The sequence below is a fragment of the Homo sapiens genome, chromosome 2 (assembly GCF_000001405.40).
Source record: "Homo sapiens chromosome 2, GRCh38.p14 Primary Assembly".
Taxonomy (NCBI): Eukaryota; Metazoa; Chordata; class Mammalia; order Primates; family Hominidae; genus Homo; species Homo sapiens.
This window is the reverse complement of record NC_000002.12, coordinates 58,903,218-58,925,909: the sequence shown is the minus strand read 5'-3', so window position 1 is coordinate 58,925,909 and position 22,692 is coordinate 58,903,218. Positions and strand designations below refer to the sequence as shown.

General features: G+C 38.4%; 1 long non-coding RNA gene across 1 annotated transcript in view; it reads right to left on the bottom strand.

The window, feature by feature from the left end:
- The window catches only part of LINC01122 (long intergenic non-protein coding RNA 1122), a 543,014-nt gene that overhangs the window by 137,857 nt on the left and 382,465 nt on the right, over positions 1-22,692 (bottom strand). Inside the window, exons 4-6 of the long non-coding RNA NR_033873.1 lie at positions 13,164-13,191; positions 1,284-1,365; positions 1-299 (exon numbers count right to left, since the gene is read on the bottom strand). This is a non-coding gene — a long non-coding RNA (long intergenic non-protein coding RNA 1122). The remainder of the gene's footprint in view (positions 300-1,283; positions 1,366-13,163; positions 13,192-22,692) is intronic.

Sequence of the window (22,692 nt, the reverse complement as noted above, 5' to 3'; positions counted from 1 at the left end):
CATGCTTCCAGCCAACACTTTGTGCAGGAGAAAGTCCTCGAACTGGCTCCAAAACTTTTCAATTCCTGACAAATGCACTGGCCCCTCTCCAAGGAGCTGGGCAGCAATCTGTGCTTTATGCTGGTGTGTGGTGGTGGCAATACCACTGGTGGGAGAGCCAGGAGGCGGAGGCGTTCTTCTCAAGTAAGAAAGATCTGAAGACCAGTGGCCTTGGGGACGCACCCAGGCACCAAGAACTCCAACTCACGGCACCAAGAACTCCACGGTAGGGGGCAGGTTCTTAACTGCTTTCAATTTTCCTAAAATGAAGGGCATATAATAAAGCCTGGATATATGAAATAGTAACAAATGTTTGATTAATTTTATTCGTATTAGAAATGAACATTTACATTGACATTGATTTTTAGAGTATTATTTTAGAAGATTATGGCATCTTTGGAAGCAAATCTTCTAAAATATGAATCCTTCAGGACTTTCTTTAAAACAAAAATGACCACACTAATAAAATTAGTCTTGTCTTCTTTGTATGAGCTTGCCCATACATTCTTATTTGTTGGACTTTCCTACATCCCTCATATCACATATACTTTAATCGTAACTCTATGCCATTAACTTCAAAAAACCATCCTTATCCTATTAAATATACATTGGGGGGACAATACTTGTTAGTGCGGTCACTGCACGTCTACTCTTCCTCCCACACACACATCCTTTTCTTAACTACACTAAGAAAATATAATTATTTGCATTCTTCAAATATTCTCAAAATTCCTTTACATACACATTCTCAGGAAAAAAGTTGGGTTTCAGGGAAGGCTGAACACAGTCAAGATTCATTTGAGTCAAGACCTGATTTTCTTCAGGCTGTGTTATTTTCTCTGAAGTACTAGGTTTGCACAAATGATTGTTTCCAACGGCACAACCATCAGATAAAGTGTGGGGTGGTGTCTTCCAGCTCTTCTCATTCTCTCGGGCGTTGTCTGGAGCTTTGCACATACAATATATTCATCCTACATACTGGACAATCATGATGATGGCCCAACGTGTGCTGTAAATCTCACCTATGCAGGCAAAATCATGTCTGTATTTGGAAACAGAAAAATCTAACTAATTTCAAAGGTGGAGTATTCCAGCTGCCACTTTTCTTTCCCCTTACAAAAGAAAATACAGGATGACAACTGTATGAAGATGCAACTGGAAGCAGGAGAACTTTGTTTCACTCTTGCCTCTGAAATTAGCAATGTGACTAAGACTGGCGACGTCATATCCTCACTGGCACTCACCTGTAAAGAAGTATTTAGAGTTGATAATTTCGAAGGTCCCTTTCATCACTTAATTCCAAGCTTAAGATAATCTTTTCACCATCTGAAAGACAAAAACATCTCCAGAATATCCAGGTCCCTCCACCACATTTGGAACACTGGCCAAGAAAATACTATGGCTTTGTTCCCATGAGACCAATGTTGAATGTATCTAGATGTTGAAAATCAAAACATTTAGTTGATTGATTGACTGAGTTTTCTACTTTAACTTTTTTTTTTTAATGTTGGTGTTATTTAGACCAGCTCTGAGAACATTGCCAAGAGTTTCTTAGTCTCTTTCAGATCCTTGTACCCCCTTTCTTAAAGGTGTTTAGAAAATAAGGGCTCTCTTAGTGGCCTCTGTGAAGTCTCATGGTAACGGCAAGCCTAAGTGTAAGAGGTCCTTCAGGAGCCCACAAACAGCCTGCTTTCATTAAAGTGTGGTTCTCCATCACCATGCACTGATGACTCACCAGGCCTTCTACCAGCAGAGCACCATTTTTAAAGGAGGCACATAAAAGAACCATGCTGTTCAAGTAAGCACACCTAAAACATTCTAAGTATGTAAGATAACCAACAAAGAGCATTCTGAATCATAGTCCAAACATCATCCTTTAAAAGCACCATAAAATCAACTATCCACTCCCACAACTAGCTGTCACAGACATGATCCCAGTGCTTGATAGACTTTAGAAAAATTGACTCATTTGATGATCTCCAGGCTAGGATATGTTGTAAGAAATTTCCAGTGAGAAACAAAGGAGGGATAAATAGGCAATAAGTTGTTGAAGATGTTCTGATGAAGCTAGCTTATTAAGTGAATATAAGAGGCTGTTCCAGGAATATAAATAATTAAATCAAAGATAAGATTAGCTATAGTAAAAAAAAAATGCTTGATTCTGTGGAACCTCTATTTCTCTTTACTTGGCTTTAATGGACTGGTGAATTTGTCCATTATTGACCTATAGCCATGGGCTCACTTGCTTAGATTACATATAAAGACAGCCTTTTATCACACGGGAATTGGAGTAGATATCTATATATCACTGGTGGGACAGGTGGTGATAAAAAAAGAATGGTTAAGAACTTGTGCTCTAGAAACAAAAAGGCTCAAATTGCAATCTTTTCTCCCTCTTTTTAACTCTGTAACTTTGTACAAGCTATGAAACTCATGGTGCCTCAGTTTCTTCACCTGTAAAATGGGCTAACAATTTCTATGACACATTGCTTGATAAAGCTTTAATGATATATGTTAGACATGGTACTTTGCACTTAGAAAATGTTTAATATGTAGCAGACATTTAAATTATCACTATTTAGAAGGTTAAATGTATAGTTGCCTTACAGATTAGTTAAGGTACTGGGGATGGTATATTTGTATGTGAATTACAACCAAATCCAGTCTCATTCTGGATGGAAAGAAGTGACTTAGGCTCATGTCCATGTGGCATTTGTATCACAGGGTAGCTGAGGACAGAGAAAAAACCAACCAGAGGCCCAGCACATTGATTGACAGACTAGCCCTCAGCCCCTAAAGAGTAATGGCTTCAAGGATTCCCCAAACATGGTTTCTGGAGTCCAAAAATATTCCCAAAACATTAAACAAGTATGTGGAAGGAGTAGAGAAAGGCGAGGAGAGAAAGGAGTCAGCTACTAGCTGACTCCTAGAATGCGATCAACCCTAATCAGACTAGTAGTACAAAAAAAGAGTCAGTATGAGGGGCAAGATGTGATGTACAAAATGAGATGATGGGAGCACCCTGTGCTTTCCAGAAAAGCTCCGGAAATCATTTCAGTGGTAGATGGTTGACGGTTGAAGATAACCAGTGAGTTAGTCTTCTTAGTTATACAAATTAGAGGCCTGTGCAAAGTATGAAATGAGAAAAAGTGGTCTTAAGTCACTCTGCAGAATAACTTTACAGGAATTTTCAGTTTTCCTCTGGTAGGCTTGGAGGACTGGAGTAAGGCTGGAGATTTGAGGGGAGAACAGATGCTTGTAAAAAGGTTACAGCAGGAAGAACAAGCCCCAGTTTAATGGTCAGGGACTGAGTCCCAGGGAGGATACACCCTGCAATGAGGATATTCAAGGAACTGTAAGAGCAGTGACGCCACATGGTCAATTTAAAGATGTTTTCTCTTCTGTGCTGTAATCCCTCTCCACTACTGGGACATCATCAATAAATGCATATTATGTGTAATAACTCAATTTTGTGGTACTTGAGAGAATGATGACAGTACTCATTAGCATAGCCAAGCATTGTGGAGAGAGTTCAGAGAAAGCAAGAATTTAGAGCTTGAGGTGCCTGGGAGAATATAGCATTTCCTGTTTCCAAGTCTCTGGAAACCTTGGGGAAATCCATAAATTGGGGTTTGAGCCACTTTATTTTTTATCTTAATGAACAGAATGTCATATGACTGCTGAAAGATGTTTGTGGATCTCTAAGAGTTGTCTGTTTGGACAAGGGTAGGAAGTGGTGTGGCAGGAGAGCAGTTCTCATCCATCGTGCAGTTTACTATGAGGGTCTCCTGTTGCCAGATGTCAGGGTATGTGGGGTCAAGGAGAGAGGTCTCAGGAAGGCTCAAGTTTTTGGGAAAGGGAGGAGAATGAACCCTAACAAGCCTAGAATAGATACACAATGGACCCTGATTTTAATTTGAGTTGAGTAACTCAACCACTTCCTAATGACAAATGCATTCTTTTGCTCAACAGTTTGGATGTACCTACCCTCTCTTGAGAACTCGACCATGTCAGAAGCTTAGTAATAGAGTGGAGAGGGCAAGGACTTTAGAGGTGGAGACCTGCGTTTGGATCATCTCTGTCACTTGCTAGCTATGTAATCTTAGACACCCAGTGAACCCTCTGGGCCTCAGTTTGCCTATTTGTAAAATGGGAAAAATATTCTCCCAAAGTAGGGTCTGGTAAGATGTAGCACATTGTTTGTGCTTAATAAGTGACAGCTGAGATGATTTCTCTATAAATGCCATTCTAGCCTACCCTGTGCACAGAGCCCTGTACCAGCCACTATAGAGATGTTCCAAGTAAGACATATGACCTCTGCCTTCAGTCAGTTCCAGTGAGCTAGAGATGAAAAGCCATCTACCAACCCCAGGATCATAGAGGGGCAGAAAGTCATCATTTTCCCTTCTGCAGCAGCTTCCCTCTGCTTTGGACTTTGCTTTGGACTTCCTTAAAAAAAAATCCTTTATAATTCTAGCAAAAGCTCCCAAACATCACTGTTTGCTATATAATTTTTTAAAATATGCAAAAATATTTATGATATATATTTTATAAAAGAGTTATGAACTTTAATCTGGAAAAATAATTCTAAGTGGAAGGGAAAAAGAGCCATTTAAGGGCACAAGATTTAAAATAAAACTTTAAAAATAGCAGTGTAGGAGGGCTTTTTAAAAACGTCATTTTAGGCTGGGCGCGGTGGCTCATGCTTGTAGTCCCAGCACTTTGGGAGGCCGAGGCGAGTGGATCACGAGGTCAGGAGATCGAGACCATCCTGGCTAACACGGTGAAATTTTTAGTCTCTACTAAAAATACAAAAAATTAGCCAGGCATGGTGCGGGTGCCTGTAGTCCCAGCTACTCGGGAGGCTGAGGCAGGAGAATGGTGTAAACCCGGGAGGCAGAGCTTGATCGCAGCACCACTGCACTCTAGCCCGGGTGACAGAGCGAGACTCTGTCTCAAAAAAAAAAAAAGTCATTTTATTTAGTATTTCTTTGAGAAAATTAATGATCTGAACAAGCAGAAGTATTAGCACTTTTTTGACACCTTCCTATGCACGCTCAGAGACTGTGCTGTCAAAGCCGAATATTACAAGAACATGCCATGAGAAATAATGCACCAAGTGTGCCTGCAAGAGGGAAGCTTGTCCCCTCAGGGTCCTGGACTTGGAAATCATCTGATGGCCCCTCTAAGGACACAGGTCAAGGCCCAAGATGGTCTTTGAGCAGGGCAAGGGTCAGCGGGGAGAAGGGTCTCATGTGCCACTTGCCATATAATTGCAGACACTGGCATTCATTCCTCAGCTTGGGCAAGGAGGTGGGGAAACACGTTGTGTGGTCTCATTTCCTTTTGCTTACCAGCCCCCAAATCACTCTCCCCAGAATGGCAGCTTTACTTACCAGAACCATGGTGAAGGGCCTGAACCCATGAGGGAGAAGAGTCACTGTGGCTCAATGAGAATCCTGTTGGCCAGAGACCCAGCCCGCGCCACACAGGTACTTGGCACAGGCTGGTTCTCTAGGGCTCTAAGGATATGCTGAGACCCCCAAGTACAGAAAAAAGGACTGGTTCTGCCATGCCAACTATGTAGAGTAACACACACATAACAGGATGTGATGATTGTTGTTTCAATAGCCATGAGAGCAACTATTACATTCCATCTGACTAATGGTGCTCCATTTTTTTCTGATGATTTTTGGACAATTTTATTATGTGAAAGTAGACTAAGCTGGAGCTGGAACCTTTCAAATCATAACATGGCTCAGAGAATGTTGTCAAACACCATGACTGCACTGGTATGTTCATTATCTCCACATGATATGCTGTGTATTAGGTCAGACCATATGAAATTTCTATTTTTCTAGATCTCATCTGGTCATATATTGGTAATTTCATATGGCTCATTTAACATGTTTGTTTGCCAATATCTGTTTCCCACCCTAAAGTGTAAGTGCTGTGAGAGTAGGGGCTTTGTTATGTTCACGGCTGTATCCCTGGGGCTTAGAACAGTGCCTGACACAGAGGCGGCATTCAAAAATATTCACTGAATGAATGAATACATGAATTCACTGATTTCTAGTGAAACCCTATTATGTGCCAGGCACTGTGCTAAGAATGAGGAATATATGAAAAAGACAGTCTTAAAGAGCTTTGAGTTCTCTTGGGAAAAATAGATTTAAATCAGTACCTAAAAAGCTAATAGGCAAACACTGGGACAAGGGGTAATACAGGATGTAAGGAGAGGAATGAATGCCAGCGTCTGCAATTATATGGCAAGTGGCACGTGGGACCCTCGCCCTGCTGACCCTTGCCCTGCTCAAAGACTATCTTGGGCCTTGACCTGTGTCCTCAGAGGGGCCATCAGATGGTTTCCAAGTCCAAGACCCTGAGGGGACAAGCTTCCCTCTTCCATCAGTGGGTCCCAGCCCGGATTGGGTTGGTAGGGGAGAAGGGAAAGAGGGCTGAGTTTCCAGTCAATAAAAAGATTAGTATTGACATCTGAAAAGGGAGAATTGGGCAGGTGAAAACAGAAGCAGAAACAGTCACAAAAGCATAGTCAGATTTCTGATGTCAGACATGTTCACACACAGCTCCACCAACCACAGAAAAACCAGGAACATTAGCCATCTACCTATGAGGTTGGCTGAATGAACCAAAGCATGCCTTTTAGTTAAAAATTAGAATAAATTAAAGGTATGAAAAACAGGCAAGACTAATTGGGTAAATAAATAGGCAAAAGAATCTTTGCCAACAAGGGCTGTAGTATTGTCCTAAGGATGAAGTATGTGTTTTTTTGTGTTTTTTTTTTTTTGACTTCTTGTTTACTTTGCATGTAAATGTAACAGGAACTAGTGTTTGGCCAGTTTTGTGTCTATTTACTGTCTTTACATTTAATGTCTGTCTCTGCCTATTTCTGTCATTCCAAACACTTTAGAAATAACAAAGATTTTCTGAGTTCAATGAGAAAATTGTCACTACCGCTAGCATTTGTTCTATCAAATGCATTAAATAGAATGCCACCTCTGGGTAGGGTGGAGTTTATAGTCTGTCGTGGATCACATAGCTGACATTGCCAATAAGTATAAGATATGATTTCAGGCTCCATCATTGTCACTCTGGGAAGAGAGCACAGTCCTGCAGGTCTTGCAGTTACACAAAGAGGGTCCTCTAGAATGTAGCTGCATTTAAAACAGAAAAAAGAAAGTGTGGAAGAATGAAACACTTTGGCACGTATTCCCCAAATGCAGATTATTTCTCTCTAGACTTCAATTTTTGCTCTTCTTCTTCCCATCCTTCCTCTATTGCAGGTGATCAGGGGAAAGATCACATCATCTCTGAGTTCAAATCCCAAAACTATTTCCCAGTCATGGCTATCCCAGCCTGGCAAAGAAAAGAGATACTGTCCTCACAACCTTGCATTGCTTCCAGGCTGGTCCTTTCCTGGAAAGGCATCCAACAGTATAAAAAGCAGCTTCTTCACAGAGCAGCTTCAGCCCCGACTGAGCCTTTGGGAATGGAATGCTACAAATTGTGGTGCTTCTATTGTATGAGCAATTCAATGGGCATTTCATTTCCAGTCAAAATCCAAACTAGTTAAAGTCAGCCTGTACAAGCTGTCTTGCTGAGAAACAGCAGCTTGCATTAAAATTACAATTATATTGTTTTGCCATGTCAGAAGCAAAGGTTAAAATCATAACTTGGCCGGATATTGTTTCTGTAATATTGGCCCTCTGCAAAGCTGCCGTGTGGATGAGCCCAGAAATGATGTGAAATATTTCTAATACAAATTTTATTTTTATGTGAAACTATTCAAATGCTGCTGTACAACATGAACTACCTGAACCAAATCAAATCCTCAGGTCAATTCCTTCTTCCGAGTGCTCCTTAGATAACAAAGTCTTGTTCTGCGAATCTGTTCAATATATTAAAGTTGATTCACTCGGACAGTGTGTAAGATATAATACATTAATCTGGGCCATTTCAATTTCTGAGGCTGGGACTATAAAACTGGTGTGCTGCATATCTAATTTTTTTTGAATACCTGATTTATGCATTCCTCTGATGCCGAGTGTCGATGGTATGGTGGATGCGGCTGCTACATTAACAACGGGCTGCATCAGCACTCAAATCTTATCTTGTTAAATCAGACAAATGTAGCTCAATGAAAAGGAAGGAATAAATGCCTGGGATGGTTGAAAGGAGTGAATTTTAATCCTGTTTGTTAGGGGACTTTCATGGTTTGCACTGGATGACTAAGGGCTGGGGGGGGTCCCCTGGAGACTTTGGGTACCATGATTTATATTTATATGTAATATATATAATGTACCCAGAGCACACATATGAAAATATACACCTTATACAAATCAGCACACACCCTAACAGCAGAAACAGTGCTGCAAGATGCAGTGTCTATATTTTACAGATGCTGTAAAATCTCTATTAGATAGAGAATTTGTAAAAATGGGTCTCTTTTTAATATTTCCATTACAAGTATAAAAACTGCTCCTTTGTGCATAATTCTCTATAATTTTTCATCAAAAAGAAGTTACCATGAAGGCTAAACACCAGGAGGATGGAATAGCTTATCACAATCATTATAAATACAATGTTTTCAGGAACTTTTGTGGCATGCTGAATACTGCTGCCATTCTATAGACAGACAGTATTAATTCTCATTGAAGGGAAACGTCCCTGTATTTGCAAAATCAACAAGACCTTTAGAAATTATCTTTGTGCTATAGAAGAAGAAAAGTTTTATCCCTGTATATAGCACAAATGGCCAAGGCATTTATAATAGATGAACTATACTTTAGAAATAAATTCTTAGGGAGGACCCTATACTACTAAACTCTAATTTAAATCTCCTTCTTTTAAAATATTCATGGAGTTCAGCTTCAGAAAATAGAAGTCAATCAAAATCTTTCATTTGCCCAAGAAAATATGTTTGGATGCATGGGAGCACCACAACACAGTTGTAAACATGCATTACCTATTAACATGTAAGTGTCACAAAATACAGCAATTACAGAAGAGGCCAAAGTGGAGCTAGAATTATTTAATTGGCTCAAAGATAAACTTGCCTGGTCAGTGACACTTTGGAAACATATTATTTAAACATAAGTTCAGTTGTACTTTCACTGGCTTCTCGCTTTCCTTAGTGTTTAATTACAGAAGGTGTATGTGTCTAGGGTGAGAGAAGATGAAGTCTTATAAACAAGAGATACATTCGCATCCCTCTCTTCCTTGTGCTGTTAGATTTCCAAGGTCTGAATCCACTACCTGCAACATTGCTATTAGTTACAATGGTCACAGCTGTGACACGCAAACATTGAAGACGGCAACTGGTTCGTACATCTGACCAGATGAACTGGTCAAAGCTTTCATACATGTTTTAGAAATACAGAATGTTATTGCTGGGAGACACCAGAGAGAGCCTCTTGCCAAATCTAGTCATTTTGCAGATGAAGACATCCAGGCCAAGAATTTAAAAAAGCCTTGGCCAAGTTCAAAGCCAGGGCTAGGCCCAAGTCATCTGATATTCAATTCAGTCCACTGCTTCTTGATTGCACCACAAATCCAAAGCTTCCCACAACTCAGGCAGCCCCCACTCCCTGAACAATAGCCTCGAGCCAGAGCCCCTCCCTTTTATACAAATCAATATTCCCTAGACTTCTCATTAGCGCTAAAATTTGGACTACATGTTTCTGAGAATGTCATGAAATCTCAGCTCATGTGAGCCTTATCTTAACAGTAGTAAATTGTGAGTCATGTTTGGGCAAGATTCGAAGAATGAAAACTTGAAATTATTTAGCTCTTAAGAGAACAAAATATCTTCATCATCCTCTTTAGAGGACTCAAAACTTGGCTTTAATTTGATAGGATGTAAACATGTCTTTAAAGGAATCAGTAGAAAGTATGGAGGCAGGTAATGCCAGCAGAATGGAATTCAGGAGTGTGGGTGATGATAATACCTGGTTCAGGGAGAGCACAGTGGAATGATGGAAATGGCAGGGCGAGGGTAACATATGATTCTGCTCAGTGCAGAGTGCCAGTCGACCTCTCCTGTGCAGTGAACACGTGACGAAGTGTGTAGAACAAATCAAAAAGTGACTTTCAAGCTGGAAAACAAAACAGGCTCCTTGCTAGTCAGTCAAGTTGTTTCACAGAAGGGCTCTTCCAGGATTCCCCACATTGCTGAAAATGAAAAGAAGATGCCCACTTTTCAGATCACAGACCAACATGTCACCCAGCAGGGGAAGCCTCTGACCCTATGACAGCTACACTCAGTGGGCCATCGGTGGCACAGTAAGGGGTACTCCGGCTGCAAGAATGGTCTGGAGCTATGAGGGGCCTCAGCCATTTTCCAAATTTTGCCCTTTCTGAGAGAAGTTTAGGGTCACAGAAATGCATAGTGCTTGAGGAAAATGTAGCTGGGATGGAGGCAGAGTGGACAAATCAGCCAGGTCATTTTGACTGCCAAAAGGAAGGAGAGATCTGCAGCTTGAATTGAGACTTCATTAGTACACATGGGATGCTGCAGATGTATTAAGAGCAAATAATGTGAGATCAGAGCCTCACTAGATGCTTGAATTTATGTCAAAGTAGCTCCATTACATATGTGTTCCCCAGGGTCAGACTACATTAGCTAGTTTCCTCATTCCACATATGATGAACTAAAGAGTCAATGGAGTGTACTTCAAAAATGCCTCTATAAAACATGTGTGGAGTGTCCATAGAACTTAGGTTCAGTTTAAGTGTGTACATGTGTGCATATTGCACGTGTGTATGTGAGAGACAAGGAGGGGGAATAAGACATAAAATGTCTCTAAGGTCACAGAACACTGACCTCATTGGCGGGGCTAATTTGATTGTGCGGGAACAATAGCACTGTACTCCTTTGCCAGTGAAGTGCATGCTAATTATGCGATTTGCCCTTGATAAGACCTTGGTGGGTCATTCAGCAGTTGTGATCTGTCACTGACTTCTAATCATGTATTATCGTCTGGGTGAGTCAGAATGGGACCCTAAGCTTTCTGTCTTTACAGCAATGTGGCACTCTAATTACCTTATGCCAAGTGGATATGCAGCTACTGAATTAAGTGATCAGTGCGATTGCCTTCAAAATCTTCTCTTTCTCCTTTGTGTTGCTTCACGGCAATTTACATTTTAAGATGCCATGAAGCTTTTGGTGTGACTGAAAATGCCACTCTAAAAAATAATTATTTTATTTTAAATTTAAGCAGGATAATATTAAATTCATGCCATACTAGCGTCTTACCTTATTTCTGTGGCATAAAAGCAGAAGCTACAATAAGAATAAGTGAGCAAACTTGTTGAAAAGCACCATGTTGGGAGCCTGGCTTTTGCTTTCAAAAAATAAAAATTTAAAAGGATTGGCAGTGTTTTGGGGTGTGGAGATACTCTTGAGAGTGAGAGAACTTTCTAAGGCCCTTAAGTTTTTACTGTACTAATAATTTGCACTTAATAAGCAGACTTTAACATAAGCATTATTTTTTAACTTTTAAATAGCATTTGAGATCCACCCAAGGGCTATATGTGCAAAAGAAATAAATTAAAACTCAAGGAATTAAATCTCACCACAAAATATTCATTAACTAGGGTAACGATAAATTGACCTTATAAGTATTTTAAGTTCAGTAACAATTCCTGACATATTGGTTAACTTGTTCCATGACAGTTTGAGGGATCAGTGTGGTCCTAATTATGGTAATGTGGGTTGCGTTCTTTTTCTGATACTTTAAAATTTTGTTAGAGCTATGATATAATTCTCTATTGTTACATAGGAACTCTCAAATACTACAAGCAATCCGTTATGCTAAACCAGTTGTATCAACATCTGTATTTGCCTAGAGAATGATCTAATGCCTTTTGCAAAGAAAATGCACTAGGGCATTTATAAAATTTGATAAGATACACTGATGTGGATGATCCTTGAAAATATGAACTCTGAAGTGCTCCTTGAAAGTTGTCATAAAACAGACCAAAAAAAAAAACAAAAAAAAACAACCATCACAACATCATAGAGCAAAAGTTACTGTGCTACTAACAGGAAATATAAAAGGATTTTCAAAGAATTTCTGCCTTGTGTGTCAACATTGCTGCAGAATTCTTTTATAGTAACGGAAAACTCAAAACCAAAGAGGACAATTGAGAGAAAAATTGCAGCCTTATTTTCCTTGAATCACATGATGTGGAAAGAACATTATTTGTTGAATCCTTGGTTTGTTTGGGTGGGAGAGGGGAGAGAAAGAGGGGGGGAGATAGTGAAAGAAATGGGGTGGAGGGAGAAGGAGGGGGATTAAGAGAGCCCAGAGAGAGAGGGAGGGAAGAAAGAGAAGAAGAGGCGAGAAAGAGAGAAGCCTAGACTCAGAATATTCTGCATTCCCTGGGTGGCAAAACAAAAGAGTCCAAGGAGAGGGGGTGGAAAACTGTGGAAAGTTGACACAGTCAAGAATAATGGCTAAATCTATCAAGTTTGATCAGGTCTACTATAATGAAGTGAGGCTTCATATTCCAAGCAGGGACAATGAAGACAGGAGTCAGGCTCTAGAAATGCGCTGCTCACTTTGTGCTTGGAATATGCAGCAGCCAGCAGGGAGCCACCAGATAATTACACAGTATTTGTGCGGTTCCAGGAAGCTTCCCGTGCAGGTTGAATGCCCGTGCTATATTAAAAGGCAGCACAGTGAAATGTTTTTAATGAATATTTTTGTCAGAGAAAGAAAAGGCATTTGAATGATTGTGTGTGTGAGAGAGAGACGGAGAGAGAGAGAGAGAGTGTGTGTTTACGCTTGCGCATGGGGAAACCAGAGGTGGAATATCACTGTCAAAATACAGGTACCTTTATTTATTTTTATTCCATTATTTACCATTTCAAGAGTCTGACGTCCTTTCAATAATACGAATCACAACATTCGGTAAATGTTATTTTGCGCTAATTGTACATATAATCCCTTAACTAATATTTGCTAATAATATCTTTCAATGAATTAGTACATCAAACAGAGGCTTAAAACTACTTTTAAAAATTCCAGTAGTAAATGAAATGTTTAGACACATCGAATCAGGAAATCAAAAGGAGAGGTAACACAGATGTTGATACTTACTAGTCAGTAGCCTTTGGCAGTGATAGCTCTAAAACATAAGAATACATTATTTCAGCGCTCTTTAATTCTCACCTAACAGATGTGAATAATCCACTGAATTTTAAACCCACATATTCTATTCACAATGCCCCTTTAAGTTCATTTTGCAGGGCAAGGCAAGCCACATACACTCAGAGAATTCACTGGATAAGGTTGTGATTTTTTAAAGTCCAGTTCCACGAATATAATGCCAGATATATTTCAAATGCTTTTTGTTTACTTGATGAAAAAACATATATAACTTCCTAAAATACATTTTCCGGTGCTGGTGCTACATATGTAAAGGCAGCTTTTTAAAGGCTAAATGACTTCCAGCAATTAGCCATAGACATCACACAATAACTTCCCTTTCGCAAATTAAATAAATTCAGCAATTCAAACCCTTTGGATAACAAAAGCATCTCACAGATATTTCTCCTTCGTATCAAATGATTTTCAGATAATGTAATGACTTACATACCAAGGTATTAATTTAGGCCTGAAACCTCCACATTTTAAAAGGGGATATTGTATTTCACATGGCTAAGTACCGATTGTGAACCATTATCACTTTTAACAAGTACATTCTGATGAGGTAGCATGGATCTTTATTTGAAGGGAGAGTTCCTACCACATTGCATGACACAGATGGTAGGGGTCAACAATTAAGAACAGTGAGAGTCACAGGATTTGTTGGTTGAAAGATGGGTCTGATGAGGCAATTTTCTATCTTTTTTTTTTTTCTCCCAAAGAGTAATTTCAAGTAGATTTCTCAGTCAAGAGGCCTGCCACTCCCTCTAGCAACTGACTAAAATTTAATAGCTTTGACCCTCAAACACACACACACACACACACACACACACACACACACACACACACACGGAACCACACACTGAATTCAACAAAAGTGGTGACTGGCCCCAGATTATTATAAGAGAAAGCAATAGCCATTCCAAATTCTCAAGGATTTGTTTCAAGGTTCCTGTCATTGAAATGTTTCCTTTTGTATGCTGTATTATTAATAATTGCAAATACCTAAATGGGAACATTTAAATGAAAACTGGTTTCTTTTATCGCATGGGAAAAAAAAATCCTAACCCTTTCAGAAAATAGATTCAAAATGAGTACACATAAAATACTGAAAAGGAAATTTCAGGAGGTATATATGGTTAAGTATATCTAACAAGAAAGACAGGCAATTACCTTGGCATGTTTAAATATGATTATCAATCTGTCCTCGAAGACTTTCAATATTAAAATATAAACAATGGTCAGATATGTTTTATTTCATTTGAATTACAGCTGCTTACAAATAACACTCTATTATGCTATGGGTTAAAACAAAAATAACACAACATGCTTTTTAGTCATCTCTTCTACTTTTCAATTTTTACTGAAGATACTCCACTGCTATATTAAGCAGCAATCTGAATTCATCATAAAATACATAAACTATACAGGCCAAAATGGTCTGGTCATCTTTTTAGAAGTTTTAAAACAAAAGACTTCATTTTAATATCATTTGACCAGAAAGATGGAAAGCTTGGAAGAGTGGGGAATGGGCTTTTCTACTTTTGTAAGAATTGCTGGAAATATATACATACAAGAACAGTCCTCAATCACAGGCAGACACAAAGGGCTCAAGAGAGGTCACCTTCTATTTTGGCCCAATCATAATTAGTAAACATTTTCAAATTGTGGGCCAATATAGAGATGAAATCATATGGAAGTTTTATTCTACGCCTTCCCTTCTTCCTCCAAGAAGCTATGAAAATGTACGTTAACATGTAACAGAATGTCTGAAGACTATTTCTTCTATAGGCCCTACAATTTGAGTTTCCACCTTTGTTGTCAGTTGTCCATGCAATCTTTCTGAAAGAGGCCTTGGGGATGAGACTCAGAGTGAAAGGGACCATGCCAAAATCTTCTGGCTTGGGGAAAGGTATGGTGAGGGCTTGAAGGGAGGCAGTCTTTGCTTAAGATCACTGCAGTCATGCTTCTACAATTCATGGTGTCATTTTCATTTGTCCTGCTCTGTTCCGGCAGCTACCTAGAACTAAATTAGAAGATTTGCTTGGTTTTACATCATTTGCATTGGACCTCCTCATTCTGAAGTCTCAGATTTCACAGGGTCTTTTTGTGAAATGAAGAGTAAGGTTTTCGTTAATTCCCTTAGCCTGGGTACCCTTGTAAAACATTAATCTGTTTAAAAAAATATGAAAAGCCAGTAATCTTTCCCATGTAGAAAATAAAACTACTATTCCTCTGTCCTAGAAGCCTACATGTTGTTGTACACAAATGCTGGCGTATTCATAAGCAGCATCCTCATATTTAAAGGAATGTTACCCCCAAGATTAAGTGGTCCTTGGAAATGCCAATGACTGCGTTCCAGCCCCTTTGCCTGCAAAGAGCTTCGTGGCATAGAAAAAGGTTCCTCTTCACCTTCTAAGCTTCATTTTATTCAATTGGCTCTTTTTCACATTGTTATAGCTGGTGAATATAGCAAAGTTGGATTCAGAAGAGAATCTTAAGCGTTATCATAATGCTTAGAAGAAATGGCTTCACACTGTATAATCTATCAAAGGTGTCAGATTTACAAAATGCAGATTTTCTGTCACATTTGGGCACTCTAAGCACTGTTATCTTTTCACTAAGGTGCTGACTGCTGTTTTAATGAGGCCCTTTGGTGGCTGTAAAAAACTGAAAGATGAGGATTAGAGGGGTTACCCTAGATATTGTCTATTTGTCTTACAAATTTCACACTAACTACCAATTACATCGCCATAAACCTTTTGGCTACTTCAAGCTGTATGCCATATAATACATAAAAAATACGCTATGTTAACCTCTCCTATATTATACACATAACTACAGCCACTGATGCAAGTAACATATCTAATGAAGCCAATAATGAGACTCTTTAAAAGGAGTCTTGTTATAGGAATAATATTAGAGCAGTTCAGTTAGAGGCTAAAGTCCATTATGGAATACTTCCTGTATACTCTGGTCCTAGGTCTGGAAAGATGCTGACACACTAATTCAAGCTCAAGAAGGGCATTAATCTTGCAACCTTCTACTTGTCATGCTTAATGGGACATCCTGCCTAGGTGAAATGAACCTGATGTATTCAGGTAAACATAATTCAATAAGGAAAGATAAAAAGAAACAGACATCTGGCATGACCCTAGGGAGATGAAAATACCTGTCTTTTTATTTAAGAAGCTAATTCCCCATAACAATCTACATTGTGCCGGGACAGGGCTGTACATAGTAGGCACTCAACAATATGTATTGCATTAAATATATGAATTGCATTAAGGAATACATGGAAAAATCATGGTTAAAATTTTGAGACATGTCAGTTGTTTTTTCTCCCTCTAAACTTCCTGCAATCCATTTTGTTGGTGGGGAATGATAATACCAGGCAAGGAAGGCAACTGTGTTCATCTTGAGGAAGAAGACACATATTAATGTGGGGTTAAGCATCTGAGTGTGAAATCAAGATCCGCAACAATACAGCATGAGATTTAAAAAGCAGGCATGAATGTCAGTGAGTAACTGTGCATCCTATTTCATTTGCAATCACTCTTAAGTCTAATGAGCTTCCAAAAATTGTGTCAGTGTTTCAGATAAGCTTATAAAAGGCAGCTGTTGGAGAAGGTGGAAGTCCATTCTGCCAAACCATCATCACACACATCACACACACACATACACACACACACCACACACACACAGACACACACATACACACACAGACACATACACACACACACACATACATGATGCATAATGGGGCAATGCTTCCCTCAGTCCATGCTTAGATACTAATCTCCTAAGGTTTTGAGAGAGACGAATCTAAAATAGCCCTAGAGAACACTGATTGGCCTTACCATTTAAAACAGCTAAGTAGTATCAAGAATCAAGCTAGTTAATATTCTGGGTGATAAATCTATGCTCGAAGTCAGTGAATAGAGTTTGTCATTTGGAAATTTTCCAAGTTCTCTTTGATTCAAAGATAAAATGAACATGGCATTATTTGGTCAAGGTTTAAAAATTAGACAAGTGGTAAATATGATTTGAAGCTGGTATCTGAAAACACTTGAAAACTCAGCTTTCTTCAGTCCTTCTTCTAGCTAATTTCAGATAAGTTAATACATGGTTAAATAAATTATTTTGACAATAATGTGGTTAAATCCATTGTTGTGAATTTGAATTTATCACATTTCTATATTTAGCTGGCCAGGCACTTGTAAATCTCCAAAGCTCATTTTCATGGAAAAATCAATGCATTTTCCCCCCAAACCCCCAGATAATATATGTTACTTGTGAAAATGAGTCTTTTACTTACAATTTATTTCTCATGGGGACAGAGAAAAACGTATATGGGCACTCAACAAATGAATCAAAATAAAAGACTAAAGAGAACCCTCACCAATAAAAACTCTAATTGGATAGTTCTGCGATGACAGGTCTTCCTCAGCTTTCTCCCTCACTTTCTAGAGCATCTGCAGAATGTTCACCTGGATAAGCAACTTTGCATATTGCTAGGGTTCATTTTCTAGGCAGTCTGAGTGTTACCAATTCCACTAGGCACGATTATCCAAGATGACAAGAAGTTGCCCATGCTAGAGGAACAAATTTGGCCTGTACTTGTTATTAGAAAGGATAAGAAAGAATACTCTTAATAGAAGACAGCCATCTTCCTGGTGCAGTTGAGCAGACAGGGGTATATGCAGATAACTAGGCATTTGGACCACCACATATAACTTTTTATTCATATTGTTATTTTTGTCCAAATCTCTTAAGTGTCTCATCCACAAAGTGTTAAGAGGAGTTACTTATTCATTAAACACTTTGCATAATCTTTATAAGTAGCACCATGGAAACCAAAAGTACTGTACTACTTCGGTCTTTCCCTGGTTGAACTCAAAGAAAGAATTTCCATCCATAGTGCATAAAGAAGAAGCATGCCTTCCTTGTGTTCATCCCTTTTTTCTTATAAATGTTTTCTTAATGATTAAAATCCTGGATTAGTATCTATCAATTACTGACCCTTAAATCAGAATTGGAGATTCATAAGCTGCCAGTCTTAGAGGTAACCACGAGACTCTTCCCAAATCACTAATAACTCTCATTGCTTGGAGACTGCCTCTAGATATCATTCTAGAGATAGAATTTGTTCCTGGGGATTTTGCTCTGCTTGTCCATGATCTTGAACTATAGGACCTTATTCTTGCCCTTAGATGACACATGATTCCATCTAAATAGGTAAAATGAGGTGCAAAGGGAAGAAAATCTACCAGTAGAACATACTTGAAACATTTGGAATCTATGGGCCTGATTCCCAGAAATCTGAATTAAAATGAGATTTGAAATGAGAAAAAAATGTTGATGTTTCTAATCATTCTAATAAAATTATCTAGCTTCTGCTAGATCATTTTTTATACCAAGAGCTGTGCTCTATTCTATATGGAATAGACTACGCTAAGCTGGATAAAATATGTCACCTTAGGCACCTGAATTAATAGTTTGGTTATGTACTCGGTTAAGTCTTTACTATAGATCACCATAAGTATGCTAGGCAGACAATTCTCTAGAGCTAACATTTTAAAAAGGTGCCAAAGCCTCTTTGAGATCTGTGTGAATTATCCAGATTCAGGGAAAAAAATGTTAAATATACTGCGCTTTTCTACCCCCCTCATTTCTTAGTTGCATTGAATAAGTAAAATTGCAGCAAAGTTGGCAAGAATAAATACTTCCTCGGTTTTTCTAAAGCTGCAATTAATGATAATGAAGCTATACCTTATATGGCAAGAAATACAGTACAAACTGGATAAGTAAGAAAAATGATCAGCCATTGTGTGCCTCCGATATAGTACATCAAGGTATCGCCACTGTGAGGCTATCTTTATTTTAAACCATTAAACAAAACAATATAAATCTGCAGGCAGGTGTTTCTTGTTGCAGAAGTATTGAAAGTTGTAATGCAAACAATCTAATTTTAGCATCTATGTAGAGTGTGAAGTAAATTTACTGATCACTGATGCATTGAGCATAGGAAGAAACAATCAGCAGGAGCTTTCAGCAAGATTATCCTATTAAAGCAGGAAGACTTCACGTGGTTGTTAAGGAAGTAGTCAAAAGCAGGTGATGGAAGTGGGGGTTTGACGACTCGTCAGTGGGCCCAGTGTACATGTTAAGTTGTTGTTTTCTGCTCAGCTAAGCAGCAGAGAATTGATATGTTAGCAATGAAGTGCAATGACAATTAAATTGTAACTGACCTACATGTTACCGTCATTACGCGTTCTCTTTTTTACTGCTTTCCCTCTTATTTAATCACACAGTATGGGGTTTTTATTAGGCTGTAATGTTAAAATCTTCATCCATTTAGCCATAAATGTGTGACTGGATATCTATCAGACTTCCTTGCACTATACAAACAAAGCCATTTTGCTGAATCACTGTTGACTTGTTTGTGGCCTAATTTAATGAGTGTAATAACTTACATTACTATCCAGTTAACATTTAGGAGCCCAGAAAAGACCTGCTAGCACGCAGTAAGCTACTGTATACATTCTCTATTCATATCACTCCCCTTTGCAGTAAATTTTATACAATAATATGCACTGCTTACAACATAAGCTCAGCTTCCATCAGCTGAGGATAGCACTCTAGTAAGTTCACTGTGCTCAGCCTGAAATGCTTCCTACACATGGGAACCAACCAATATGATTCTCTTTTTCTGGATACTATAGTGGCTATATCTTCATCCCTTATAAACATAATAAACACAGGTTATATAACCTGCAGACAAAGATAGTTTCGCCTTTCTTCCCATTTGTCTTACTGATATTTTAAGCCTCTTCCCACCCCCAAACTCGGGAATGAAAAATAGTTACTCAAGGAGAGGGAAATAGAAACCATTGTCAATTAAACAAAATAGAGTAGAGTTCCAGGATAAAATATAAAAGCAGTAAGTCAACAAATAAACTGGGTTGTCCCTGTTTATATGTATATGATTAAACTGTCCATGATCTTGAATATGCACTATTTTATATTTCCCTGTACTAAAGTTACCCATCCTCCCATTTGACCCACACACATCTATTTGCTGTCTTGCTAAATGTTTCTTTAACACAATCATATTGAAATTTATCTGTGTTTCCATTACATTACTTTGAAACAAAGATTTAAGAAAATCTTTGTCACTTGACTTTGCCTTAGCCATTTAACTAGCACCTGACAATTCAGTGAATCACCAAAAAAAACTCATTACTTTCATACTAATTTTATGCACAGATGACACAATCAAAGCTCTTCACTTGCCCAAAATAATCATCATTTAAGAAGAAATACATACACATACACACAGAGTTGACAATTTACAAACAAGCACTTCCACATCGAGAGATTTGGAAGAGATGGACCTTAGTTTTTCTTTCCCCTTTCAGAGCAGCATTACTTCATTGTTTGAGTCAAGATTTAAGCCTTTAATTACTATCCATTACACAATATCTCAGATTGACATTATAATCTTAGAAGTTACCAATAATAGGGTGGGAAAAAAATTATAGATGGAAGAGATAGTTCTACATTTTATTCCTTTTCATGAAATAGGCAGAGGCAACCTTCAGGCTTCTCATCCCAGGAGAAAATGCATTATTCTGGACAAGTGGGAGTTTACTTTGGTTTTCATAAACGATGGGCTACGTAAAATTTTTAGATGCTAATTAGGACCTCTATGTCTGTAGGTGTATCGACTCTCCAAAAAAAGCATTTTATTGACAACTTTCAATAAAATATGTAAACTCTCAGGTCCTAGAAATTAGTGGGGAAAGCAACCATAATATAATTTTATTTCTTCACCATTAAGCTCCTACAAATTCCAGGCACTCTTCTAGGCCCTGGGGAAAAGGCTACCAAGATAAAAGAGCAAAATCCTTGCCCTCATGTGGCATATATTCTTGTGGAAAAGAGAGAGTAAACAAAACATGAACAAAACAACAATTATGTAGCATATGAGAACGTGAGAGATGCTAAAGAGAGAAAAAAATAAAACAGGAAAGGGAGAAGGTGTTCTGTGGGCAAGACTGGATTTTATACTGAGTGGTCAGGGTAGACCACACTGAGAGGGTATTAATCCGTTTGAGCAAAGACTTGTAAGAGACAAGAAGATACTTACATTAATGTATAATCTAAATATACATTACATGCAATTTTAATGTTTAGCTTCATACATATAAATATAATAAAAAACTATAATAAACTATTAAAACTATGATAAAAAAAAACTAGTTGGATTTCCTTCAAGGAAAGGTTCAAAAGAAAGCTAGCAAAAAAATAGGGTTCGGAGTTGGTGTGGAGTCAGGCCACCTGGAAAAGGAGTTCTTATATGCCCCTTACCACTTCCCCATTTTGAATCCATAATTCATTATTTGTCCTTGTAGTAAACCTGTCACTTGGGGGGATCTGGAGTGATAGCAGTTTTAAGCCAGGTTGGGTGAAGATAAACCTGTGTAATCTTGACTGTTTATTATATAACACCCCAATAATCATGACCACTTTTTAGGTCTCACTCCAAGTCAGACACTTCCCATTAAAAATCCTTGGGAAGTAGGTATTATTATGCTCAATTCAAAGCTGAGTAAGATGGAATTCTGAGAAAGTAACCAATATGGCATAGTTCTGCTAAATATTGAGTAGAAGAGTGAATCATCAGACTCCTGTGCCACAGTTCTTTTCCACACTTATAAGGATAAAACAAAAGCAAAAACAAAACCAAACAAAATAATCTGGAGTGTCAATCAAGAAAATCAAAAGCTTTGGAGAGTAAACAATAATTTGGGGTAAAGGTTGAATGTACCATTAAACTAGAAGTTAAATGCTAGCATTGCTGAAATTATGCAAACAATGGGTACAGTGGTGCTTTTTTATGCAAAATGTGGAGACCAGGTAAAACTTTTAATGGGAACTGCTGATTTATTGATGCTTCTTTCATGACGGTGACTTCTGCTAACCTGTATGGCTCCTATGTATGAAAAATGGGTGCTTTCCTCAGGGTAGAAACAACTCAGTGCTGGGACAGGTGAGTCAAATGCAAGTATGATTTTTATCCTCACTGGGTATCATTGTGCATGCATGACCTGCCCCAGCAATTCTTGGAAGCCCTGCTTTCTAAATGTAAGTAGCGGCAGCCTAGCTAGTGACAGAAGTTAGAGAGGCTCTACCATTACTTGATCATTTTCTTCAGGTTCTGTGTGACTCCATCTTACAATATCATCTTTCTTGATTGACCTTTTTAAAATTCATAGTGGCAATGGTAACATTGGTAATTGTAATAAAAATCTATAAGAAAAAAGCAATTTATTTTGGCAACACAAGGACAGTCTTGTATAAGTAGATCTAAAGTTGCTGAGCACTTTCTGTCTACCTTCTTTCTATTCATTTCCTTTCCAAGCTCTAGAACTGAGCTACGTAAAGTGATACATCTTGGGATTGTAAAAGAAATGTG